The following is a 12,929-nucleotide window of genomic DNA, read 5'->3' on the forward strand; positions in this document are numbered from 1 at the left end:
TTACTAGAGTCCAAAGGATTAAAAATTTAGAGCTAATGAGGACCTTAAAAAGTCACCTAACAATGGTTTTTGAACTTTTTTCTTAGGGTAATGGTACAAATTTTCAGATGTGATCATACTTGGAACTCACGTATAAAACAGATAATGAAAGAGCTGCTGTGAGTTAAGCAGGGTTGGAGCTGGGGACTGGAGCCACAGCCTGAAGGTCTCTTACTGCTTGATTCTGGCAGCTATCCAGGCAGCTCTGTGGAACCTGGGTGTCTGATTAACACAGATGAAAACCGCTGACTTAGATTTAGTCCAACCCCCTTCCTTCATTTTTTTCTCCTTGCCAGGCTGACGATAGCCAGAGACTTTACAATTCTAAAGTATTTGAGCTTATGAAAAATTGTCCAAGCATGAGTACTATGGTGATAGAAGAGTTAGTGGAGAAAACGCAATGAGAAAGAACCAAAGTAGGTCAGAATTATAGCTGAGGATGGGCGTAGAACAAGTTCAAGCTTGGCTGGCTAGGAGATTGATGGACACACACACACATACACACGCACACACAGACACACATACAATCAGACAAGGCATTCAGTTTGACAGGAAGATGAGTTAAATTTTAGCAAATGAATATGAGGTGACAGCCATGCAATCACATGGCATCATTTATTAGCACTAGTTTGTCTTAAAACTTGAACACAGAGAGTCAGGGCCAGCCAAATGGAAATTGTCTGCTCATAGGAGAAGCCCCGGGGCCATACTCTGAAAGAGGTAGCTTGGCGACAGACAAATTTTCTAAGAGAGACAGTATGGGGAGAAGAAAAGGCAAAGGTCCAAGACTCAAAAAATGAATGAATGTTAAAACATCAGAAGAGCAAGATAAACGAGTTAAGAAGATGGCACAGGAGCCGCAGAGAGGTAGGAGGAAAACAATCCTCAGCCCGTCCCTGTTGGCTCCCTTGACAAAATGACCACCTTCTTTTCCTAAAGCCATTGCAACAGCCTCCAAGTTGGTCTCTCTCTGGTACCTTTTCCAACGTGGAGTTTATTCTCCTAAGAGCAAAAGTGATTTGCTTAGAACATTAAATTAGAGTGTATTTCTTTTCTGCCAGAAACCCTCAGTCCCTGCCATGACCTACATGATCTGGTAACCTTCTGGTCTCATTTACACTTGATATCTTCCTCACTTTTTGCTGTTCTTTGAACATACTAAGCATGCTTTCATCTCAGGACCTGCTGTTCTGTGTGTGGAAACTTCCTTCAGCCGGCCACATGGCTCAATCCTTCACTTCCTTCAGCTCTCTCCCGATATATCGCCTTCTCAGAGATACCCTCCCTGCCTAACCTCTGTGAAACAGCATCCCTCCCCACCCATTCCTTTCTATTTTTCTTATTGTGCTTTATTTTTCTTTGTATTTCTATCACCAACTGATGTGTGTGTGTGTGTATAAAATGTTTTTGGCTGGGTATGATGGTGCACGCCTGTAGTCCCAGCTACTCAGGAGGCTGAGGTGGGAGGATCCCTTAAGCCCAGGAGGCAGAGGTTGCAGTGAGCCAAGATCACACCATTGCACTCTGGCCTGAGCTATAGAGCAAGACCTTGTTAAAAGAAAAAGAAAAAGAAAAAGAAAGGTGGTTTATGCACTCCCAATGCCTAGAATAGTGTCTGACATTGAATAGGTGCTCAGTAAATACTCATTACATGAACAAATGGGTAAGACAATGCAATACTACAGAAGACAAAAGAAGCAGGTAGTTCTAAGAAGATAATCAACAGAGTCAAGTCCATGAGGAGGCCACAAAATAAATGAATTAGGGAAAGGCCTTTTCAATGGTCCTCTCACCTGTGCTTCTTGTAACAGAGAAAGTCAGGTAGTGCTTCATCTTTATTCAGTTAACTGTTTGCTTCTCGGTACTTCAATAAGTGTGTTTATATATATATCTTTTATGGCATGCAATGTATCATACCTTGTAGTATTTGTAAAGGTCTTTCTCTTCCTTCTATGTTATAAGTACCTTGAAAATAGGTACTATGGCTTTTCTATCCTTGTATCTCCAGCAGCTGATATATTAACACAGCTAAATGAATGAATAACGAGATGAATGAATTAAAAGGAAGGAGAAGAAGGAACAAGTAGTCAATGTATAAACAGTTGGTGTAGACTGGTTGAAGGAAAGAAAATTGGAAAATTGCTTAATTGGATGGTAGGATCAGGCAAAGATTTCCTTCCCTCTCCCCAAGCTTATGCATATGGGAAGGAGAAAAATCCACAAGCTCTGGAGACAGCTTTGTTTCAAACTTTACCACTTGCTAGCTGTGTGATGTTGGGGAGATCATATCCTTTTTGTGCCTGAGTTTTCCATGGGTAATATTGAGCTAAAGTAGTGTAACTGAGTACCCCTATTTTTCTAAGAAAAAACAGAATGAGTTATTATTTTAATTATTTTTCTCCTTTCCCCATTTTCCCCTGCTCCCCACTTCCCACTTAGCTCTTTAGAAATGCAGTTATAACATTTTACCTCCCCTTCACCAGACGCTCCTTACAGGGCAACTGCATCTATATGCTTAGAAGCTCCAGCACAGAACTCTCACCTACCATAAAGTTGCTTCAAGAGATAACAGTTAATTTACAATCCAAAGTATGCCCACTATGAAACTCTCTCCCACCTGGAGAGTTCTGGACACTTTTACAACCTAGTTCTGCCCATGAAGATGCCAACTCACTGCCCGGTAGATAAAGCACTGAAGAGAGTTAAGTGGACTCCCATATGCTTGCTTCATCTCCTGCATGCCATTCATGCCACATCCCCTTTTAAAAGCACTCACTTTCTGCTCCAAAAGCAAAGCAGTACATTAAGGCAGGAAGCCTGTACTTCTTCCTTTAAACTAGCTTTGGAATTAAAAAGTCACTTTTTTAATACCAGACCTTGCTCTTGTTAATTGGACTCCGCAAGTGGCGAGGGAGTGAACCTGCATTTCAGTTACAGTAGTACTTAACTTGTGGTTTATGGTGAGGATTGAAGAGGACAATTAGGTTTGTAAAACATTTAGCACAATACTTGCACATTAAATGCTCAGTGAATGTTTGACACCATTATTATTACTAAATCAGAAAAGTGTGTATGTGTGTGTGAGCGTGTGTGTGTTTTGAAGTGGTAGAGTCAGAGGGAGCTAGATGGGCTGCTATAACAGAATACCACAGATGGGGTGGCTAAACAACAGAAATTTATTTCTCACAGTTCTGTAGCCTGGGAAGTCCAAGACCAAGATGCTGGCAGATTCAACGTGTGGTGAGGGCCCTCTCCCTGGTTGTAGAGGTGGTCTTCTCATTGTGTCCTCACATGGTAGAGAGGAGAGAGAGAGAGAGAGAGAGAGAGAGAGAGAGAGAGGGAGAGAGAGATCCCTTGTTCCTCTTTTTATAAGGGCACTAATCCCATTCATGAGGGTTAGGCACTCCTTAATCATCTCTCAAAGTCTCCACCTGCTAATAAAATCACATTAAGAGTTAGAATTTCAACATACGAATTTTGGAGGACGCAAACATGGTTCAGACAGCGGAGGCAATAGCCTGCTGGGAAGGGTAGGACAACAGGAGTGTTGAACCAAGTGTAGAGATGTAGAGCAGGAAAGTGCAGGCAGCCCTTCTGTCTTTTCAAGTGAACAGGAATATGAAGTTCTCTTTACCCTTGCACTTTTTTCCCTCCCCAGTCCAACTCTATTTTCCTTCCAAGAGCCCCTTTGTTGGTGAGTTAATTTCAGTGAAACCATATCTTGTTCAACAAATACCTATTCAAATGAATTAATTTACTGGGGATGGGAGTTCAGACAATAAAGAGTGGGGGGGAAGTTTTAGTCTCAGAGAGGATGTGCCAGATAAATAAAGAAGGATTATGTATAGCTGAAAAACTTCAATTAAAGCGGCATGAATTTCAACTGGAAAAATGTATTTTTTTCTTGCTTTAACCACAAAAGCATAAGCAAAAATTCATTTTATCTATAAAATTTTTTATTGTAGTAAGAGATCTTTAAAATGACCAGATTCCTTCAATAGAATAATTTCCTCTCTTCCTCCGTCTCCCCTTCCTTCCTTTAATTTTTGAGTCATGTCATGCAAGTATACTGAAGCCCAAAGAGGGAGGGGGATCTTTTCTTTGTAGTGGGAGTTCTGTCATTTACAAAAAAAAAAAAAAACAAAAAAAAAACTATAAAGATTGTATTAATTTACATTACCACCAACAGTGTAAAAAGCAGTGGCTCATGCCTGTAATCCCAGCACTTTAGGAGGCTGAGGTGGGCAGATCACGAGGTCAGGAGTTCAAGACCAGCCTGGCCAAAATAGTGAAACCCTGTCTCTACTAAAGACACACACACACACACACACACACAAATCAGACAGGCGTGGTGGTGCATGCCTATAATCCCAGCTACTCAGGAGGCTGAAGCAGGAGAATTGCTTGAACCTGGGAGGCAGAGGTTGCAGTGAGCCGAGATCATGCCATTGCACTCCAACCTGGGTGACAGGGCGAGACTCTGTCTCAAAAAAAAAAAAAAAATCATTTCTTTTTCTCCTCATCATCACCAACATTTGTTATTTTTTGACTTTTTAATAATGGCCATCCTGACTGGTGTATGATGGTATCTCATTGTATATCTCATTGTGGTTTTAATTTGCATTTCTTTGGTGATTAGTGATGCTGGGAATTTTTTCATACCCTTGATGGCCATTTGTATGTTCTTTTGGAAAATGTCTACTCGTGTCCTTTGCCCACTTTTTAATGAGGTTGTTTTTTGTTGTTGTTGTTGCTATTGAGTTGAGTTCCTTGTACAGTCTCCAGGGAAAACAGTATGGAGATTTCTCAAATAACTAAAAACAGAACTACCATTCAATCCAGCAATCCCACTACGGGGTATCTACCCAAAGGAAAATAAATTATATAAAAAAGACATCTGCACTCATATATCGATGGCAGCACTATCCACAATAGCAAGTCATGGAATCAACCTAAGTGTCCATTAAAATATGATTGGATAAAGAAAATGTGTTGTGTGTGCGTGCATGTAATATGTGTGTGTATATATAAATATATATATAAAATATATATAAATATATATAAAATATATAAATATAAAATATATAATATATATATAAATATATATATACACATATACACACACACATATATACACACACACACCTTATTCCAACATGGAGGATATCTTGTATTTATATATATAAATATATATAATATATATTTTTATATATTTAAATATATTTATATATGTAAATATATATAATATATATTTTTATATATTTAAATATATTTATATATATTTATAACTATATATTTATATATAGTTATATATATTTATATATATTTATATATATATATATAAATACAAGATATCCTCCATGTTGGAATAAGGTGTGTGTGTGTGTGTGTGTGTGTGTGTGTGTGTATAATGGAATTCTACTCAGCCATAGGAAAGAAAGAAATGTCTTTTGTAACAGCATGGGTGGAACTGGAGGCCATTATCTTAAGTGAAATGACTCAGAAACAGAAAGCCAAATACCTCATGTTCTCACTTATAAGTGGGAGCTACACATGAACATACAGAGCGGAATCAAAGCCACTGGAGACTCCAGAAGTTGGGAGGATGAGAGGGAGTTGAGGGATGAGAAATTATCTGTTGGGTACAATTTACATCATTCAGGTATTGGTAACACTAAAAGCCTGGGGTTCACCACCATACAAAGTATCAATTTAACAAAACTGCACTTGTGCGCCTTAAATTTATACAAATAAAACAACTGCTATAGCAACCACTTTATGCCAGCATTATCTGGAAAAAACAAAAATATAAACAAACTGGAGATGTCCATCTTTGTACAAAAGCTTGAGTGCTCTTTCCTTGCTTTCATTTTATATTTTTATGGTAATGCTTCTAATCTGAATTTTATTTTAATTCTACTTAATTTTTGTCAGGCTGCCGAAATAGATTATATTTTTTCCTATGATATCTTTTGTTTTGTCATCTAAACCATTTGGGCTTTTTCTGTGGACAGAGTTCTTAAGTCAGACTACAAATGTTTATTGAATGTGTATTGTATTAAATGCTTTATCTTGGGTGTTCAAGAATAATGCAAAGCAGGAAGGACAAGTTTTCTATTTTTAAGAATATTGCTATTAGGCTGGCATGTTTAATTTAATGAACTATAAAGCAAAACTTTAAACTTCTTTTAGGTAGGACCAACTTTTGCTCACATGGTATAATTTTCTATGTATTTTTGGTGCATTGTCCATCCACATCCCTTCTCCCCACTTCTGGTAATTTTATCCTTCATTCTTCTCTCTAAACCCAATATCAGGTGTTTAATCCCACTTTGGAGTTCCATTTGGAGGTTTTTATTTTTAGTTTAATGTGTAGACCCCAAAGTCATATTAGCATTCAGTATCAAGAGCCAGAAGACCTCTAGGCCTGCAAGACCCAGAAGAGGCACCATTAATCAGGTATCACAAAAGTACTGGAGAGTGTATAGAACTTAGGCATTTGTGTTTAGGATGTTTCCTGATGGCTTTCCTTAAGTCATGTCATCTATCAGGAAACTGTTTCTGTAGCTTTTCAAGGCTGGCCCCACTTCTGGGTATTCTGTTTGCCTAAGCCTTCCTTCACCTTGCTCATCTTCCTTCAAAGGGGAATTCTAGTTTTAAGTGCTCAGCAGTGAATGTGTTTGGGGTACACAATTTCTACTTATTTATATTTTTCTTTAAGAAAATGAGTCCCCAAATAACTTGCGAGTGATTCTGCTGGTGCCCTACAGCCTGTTTGCAGCATAGCCAGAACTAGGATTCATATGGTTTTGACTCCTTGTTTAGTGCTCTTTTAATTATGTCACAGACTTTCATAGCCATAAACTTCTGTCACTTTGCAACACCACCGAGGAAAGAAACACTTCTTTGTGTGGTTTGGTACTTATTATTGTAATAATGTTTAATTAATAATATTTCTTGATAGCTATCATTAGTATGGACCACTAATAAAAAATGTAGAGATCACTGGACAAATAATGTTTTAATTTTAATTATGAAAACAATAAGAATAATCTTGAAAATGAATATTGAAGACCATATAATACTTCTTTCACTTAATATGCTGAGTCTTTTTTTGATCCCTCTTATGAACTGCTTATTATAAAAGTGCACAGTGACTCTGAACTTTTTCTCTAACAGGAGATTTGTTACTTTCTCTCCTGGGTTAGAAACTTTTCTTTCCACACCTAGAATTCAGAGTGTCTTTTATAAACCCAGACCTCTAGCATTTCTGGTACAGTAGTATATAGTCACCTCAGTTATCCTCCATGTTGGAAAACTTGCTTCTTTAGAAGATCAGGACAATAGACACATTAGATATATTTTTATGTATATATTTGCAACGGATGAATTATAATGTAAGAATTAATATACAGAAGTCAATTTCTAGGCTGAAACCACAGGTTCAAAGGATATGAATATATTTTTGGTACTTGGTAGAAATTATCTATTTTGCTTATTATAGTATTATAATAAGCTTATTATAGTGTTATCAATAATGACAAGATGTTAAATACCATTGGCATGTCCAGCATTATTAAAGGTATTGTTTTGGAATAAGTAATGGTAAATATAAGGGGTAGAATATTACTTGATTGTTAAAATATCCGTGAAACACTTACATGTTAAACAGACAAACAAAACTAGAAGACAAAATGGTATGCATGTTCCAATCCAGTTTCATTAAATTTATGCAGGTGGAAGATGGCTTGGAAGAGTGAAAACAGTTTTGCTGAGGACAGGTAAGGTATGGGTCATTCTGATATTATCTAATGTTATCTATATATCATTACCATATATACCATATCATTATCTAATGTCATCTATATATCATTACCATATATACTAATTATCTAATGTTATGATTTTTTTAGTTAAAAAGCAATACATTAGATAGTGTAATAACCATTTAATTTGGTTTATAAGTTACAGAAAAAAATTTTTTGTTACTTTGAAGTCACCATTTATTTTATCAAATGATGTAATTTTACCTCTCCAAGTAATTTAAACTCCCCAGTCCTTAGAATCTAGGTATAAATGAAGCTCAGAGCTCTCTTTCAATTGGATAATTAGCTCACGAGTGGTTGCTCTATTTCTCACTCACCTCATTCACATACAGGGCTCAGCTCTGAATTGCTTCTGGCTCATTCCAAAAGCCAAGTGCTCAAACATGAAGACTTCTTTTTATTGGAAGTATTTGAAAGGGCATGCCATATTCCAAATATGAATTCCAAATATGCTTTAAATAATGGCAGCATCAATAAAGTCCACTTTTCTCTAAGACTATTTTTTAAGAGGCCAAAACATTTGAATGAAGCAGTTGATTTCTAAAAAGTGACTTTTAATGTTTCTTGTACCTTCAATCATACCTAGACACTGAATGGATTTCAGAAAGTCATAGGGCCTGGGTGGAAGCCCCAACACAACAGCAGAGTGGAATCATGGATTGGCTATTCTATAATCCATTCGCCGTGACTGAGGGTGAGAAGTGGAATTCTATTTGAGGCTATATTTGAGAGCCATCTTTGAAAATGAAGAAGTAGTTTGGGCTCTGGGTATCTTTTCTTTCCTTTTTTTCCCCTTTTTTTCTGATACAGCCTTCAGCTGAATGAAATGTGGGCTTTGAGATCACCTGTGATAGCATTCTCTAAGACTGCAATATGTTGAAAACTGTCTTGTGATTACTTCATAATGGATATTTTCCAATGGATAACACTTAGAGTAAATCTGAGTTGCCAACAGCTTTCAGAAAGGCAGAGGTAACACTGTATGTAAAACGGAAGCTCCAAACCTGCGGTGTTATTAAAAAGCAATAATATTGCTTTAATATTATACCTCTGTCAGCATATAGACTTGTTTATTCAATGCTACTCTATTAATCTGTTCTTCAGGATGTTTTAGGAACTAAATTTAATGCACAAATATTTATTGAAACCTCTTTTAGCTGACTGTGTTAGTACTTGCAATGATAAAAAGACACAATTTGATTTTAACAAATTTATGATATAGGCAACAGATATGGGGGTGAATGGGAAGGGAGGGGACAGTAGGGCTAGTGGTGAAAAAGGGTTGAATGAAAACAGGTAAAAACAATGCACTGTGAACTCTGGAGGATGGATATCATTAACTCCTTTTTGAAAAGGTTTCATGAAGAAAACAACATTTGTAAATGTTCCATGAGCATGAAAGCATGGCAAGACATTTGATTTTGCCAATGCAGGCAGTCTGTTGTTGCTGGAGTATAGTATGAGTAAGAGAACGAGAGAGGGCAAAGGAGAAGATCATCCTATGGTTCATCATTCAAAATGATGAATCATTTCTGAACTAAATGTTATACAGATCATTAAATATGTCCATACAATGCAAGCTTTTATAAATAGTATATATAATCATTTAACTCAACTAACTAGCCTATATCTTAATATTTATTAAAATCATGTTTTATAAATATAATTTAATGTCCAAGAAAATGATACATATCACAAAGAATCTCAGGCCTGTCCCATGCAACATCTGAAAGGTTGGGAGAGCTGTACTGATGACAGTGTGGGCACAGCCAGGCTCACTGGGGGATGTCATGATCCACTGTGGATCCTGGGCTACATTAACTTTATATCACAAATTAGTCTATAAGAATTGGGTGAGCAAATTCTACATGCCAGGAGTTATGCTGGAAGCAGAAATACAATGAATTAGAGACTCAGTGTGTGCACTCACAGAGCTTAGAATCCTGAGACAGGGGTGAGGGTGTTTAGAGATAAAGATAAGTAACAGAAATTCCAGTACAGCGTGATATGTACCTGTTAAGAGAGGTGAAGAATGCTATGTGAGCATACAGTGGGGTATGTGACTCAGACAGGTCAGGGAAGTTGTCCTAAAAAAGTGTGGTTCAAGCCTAAAGAGACAGGAATAAGCTAGGTGAACTGGAAAAACTACCCCAGGCAGAGAAAGAACCATGCAGACACAGAGTGGGGGAGAAGTGAGGAGAATAACAGACAGTGAGAGGAGGAAGGAGAAGGAAGAAGTAGAAGGTAAAAGGAAGAAGAGAGGAAGAGAGAGAACTCACCTGGTGCTTTCTAGAAAGAGAAAAAAGTTTAATGCAAGGTAGGTTAGGGATCACAGACATAGATGAGACTGGAGAAATAAGGGGAGGGAATATGGGCAGATCACACAGTGCTTTCTTAAGGTTAAAAAATTCATAAAAACAGGAAATCCCTTAAACAGTTTTGAGATGGGATCAGATTTGTTTTATGAAGTTTACCACAGTTGTGTTTAGAAAAGATTGCAGAGGGGTAAGATGGGAGGTGATATTGTTTGGCTCTGTGTCCCCAGTCAAATCTCATGTTGAATTGTAATCCCCAGTTGGGGGAGGGACTTGGTGGGAGGTGATTGGATCATAGGGGCGGATTTCCCTCTTGCTGTTCTCATGATAGTGAGTTCTCATGAGATCTGGTCATTTAAAAGTGTGTAGCGCTTCCTCATTTACTATTTTTCTCTCTCCTGCTCCACCATGGTAAGCCGTGCTTGCTTCCCATTCATTTTCTGCCTTGACTGTAAGTTTCCTGAGGCCTCCCATCCATGCTTCTGGTACAGCCTACAGAACTGTCAATTAAACCTCTTTTCTTCATGAATTACCTAGTCTGAGGTAGTTCTTTACAGCAGTGTGAGAACAGACTAATACAGGAGGCTGGAAGACCAGCTGGGGGGTGCTGCGGATGTCATCCACGTCCTCATGATGGTCTACATGGGTAGGAGCCACAGGGATGGAGAGAAGTGGGCGAATCGTAGGGATAATTTGGAGGTGGATTCCACAGGACTTAAAAGATACATCAGACGGGGAGTGTGATGTGTGCCACCCATCCTCTCAAGTGTCTGTCTTGGTCACTGGGAAGATGGTATCTATGACCTGAGTCTCACTGGTGATGCCAGAAAAGACCAAGCCTATGAAACCAAAAGGTTGTTTATTCCTGAATAGAGCCAGGTCAACATCAATTAGCAGGTGGGCTGTTTGCTGTGAGTGAGAGTGGCAGGGCCATGGTTTGTTTTCATTCTTCCTTCTTGAGACAATCCCTAATCACACTTGTTCAGTACAGAAAATGAGCTGCCCCTCCCTGCTTCACCGAATTGAAATCCAAAATGTACCAAATGACTAGACTACTGTCACTGAGGAGTTCGAAGAAAAAATCAGCTCCTCACTGCTGCCAACTGAAAATGGATAATTACAATATTTTTAACACATTATACCTTATTATTTTTGAAATTAGGAAAATCCTTATGAAGCCACAAAATTCTATCAATAGGAAACCTCTTAGAAATTACTGACAAAAAATTTTACAGATGAAAAAGTTGTGGAGGTTAAATTATTGGCTCAAGATCATTTGCCTGATAGTTGATAAATATTTTTATTTCTAAAGAGTACTGGTTATTTCTCAAAAACTGTTGAGTAAACAAGTTAAAGTTAAGCACATGCCATCTCAGGGGCTATAAAACTGTTTCATGTTGGTATTGAAATGCCCTGGTAATTTTTGTGGCAGAATGAAAGGGTTGTTGTGACAAATAATCTGAAATAGAAAATGGTATAGTTTCTGCTCTTGGTGCTCATGCCTGCTTCTAAATTCTTTTGTTAAGTGATTTACGCACATTTAAACAGAGCATAATTATCTTGATTAATATTGAGAAATACAGTATTTATAATCCCTGTGTTTAACAAAGTGCTACATGATTAGCCCTTTAAAAATAATTAACCCTCTTGTATATAAAATTTCATAATTTCATTTCATATTATGAAGTGCCAACTAATATTTTCAAAATTTTAATCACCCACATAAAATGGATCCAGTGGAAATATGTGAGAAGAGTACTTTAGCTCTGATACTTATAAATCAATGAGAAATTAAACGACATTATCTTTTTTTTGCAGCAATCATATATTTTTCTGGTCTTCTGCATTTTGCATTTAGATGTTAGATGTATATTAGTCAGTTATAGAAAGTATTTAGAAAAATGAAGTTACTGAAAATTAGAAAAAAAATAAACATGCTATTCTGCAAATTTATTTATTGATTTGGCCCCATTTTCACCTATGAGTGAAAATCATGTCTGGGATTAGTAAATCAAGATAAGGGCTTCCTCTCTACTCCCCACCATAGGAAACAAACATTAAACACATTATATGTAGTTTATAATTTCATGACTTCTAATGAGATGAGATTTGTAAGTATTTTTCTTGGTGGAATATGGACCAGATCTGCTATTTTCCTGAACAGGAAAAACCAAATTCCTTGCCTCTCCTTAAATGACCTGGGCAGTTGCTGCTAACCTTCTGTTATGCTACCTAGGAAGGAACCCATGGTTAACGTATTAAGAATCATTAAAAAATAATCAATTATTTTCTTTCCTTTTTTTCCCCTTCGAAAGCATGAGGTACAAACCAGAAGATTTAAAAAAATTTTAGGGTAGTCGAATTTTCTTTTCTTCACAGGTGTCTTTGAGCTTTATCAGTTTGTAAGCTAGAATTGTGTGTGTTGGGAAGGACTATAATAAGAAAAAACAAAGACTGAGTATCATCTTCAAGGGCCTGTTAGGACTTGGGAAAATGTCAAAATTAAAATTAAAGTTTGATATAGGATTTGTTCATATAACTTTTAAGATATCCTCTTTAAAAATTCAAAATTGATGCTTGTAAAGTTTCTTCCCCCTTCTCTTTAGGAAATATCTCTAAATACTCCTAAAAATAATAACATACAGCAAGCCAACCCTTCCACATACACTACCTTAGATATTTCTCATCTACCTAGGAGGTGGAGTGGAGAAATACTATTATTACATCCAATTAACAGACAGGAGATAGC

At 37.1% G+C, this 12,929-nt stretch overlaps 1 protein-coding gene across 2 annotated transcripts in view; it reads left to right on the forward strand.

The window, feature by feature from the left end:
* Nucleotides 1–684: 684 nt before the first annotated feature.
* LOC107986837 (uncharacterized) overlaps nucleotides 685–12,929 on the forward strand; it is a 45,778-nt gene continuing 33,533 nt past the window's right edge. For both annotated transcript variants that reach the window (XM_047421162.1, XM_047421161.1), the window contains exons 1-2: nucleotides 685–906; nucleotides 7,776–7,820. In XM_047421162.1, the coding sequence (XP_047277118.1) occupies nucleotides 840–906; nucleotides 7,776–7,820 (112 nt within the window). In that variant the 5' untranslated portion in view covers nucleotides 685–839. The remainder of the gene's footprint in view (nucleotides 907–7,775; nucleotides 7,821–12,929) is intronic.

This window comes from Homo sapiens, chromosome 7 (genome assembly GCF_000001405.40).
Source record: "Homo sapiens chromosome 7, GRCh38.p14 Primary Assembly".
Classification (NCBI taxonomy): Eukaryota; Metazoa; Chordata; class Mammalia; order Primates; family Hominidae; genus Homo; species Homo sapiens.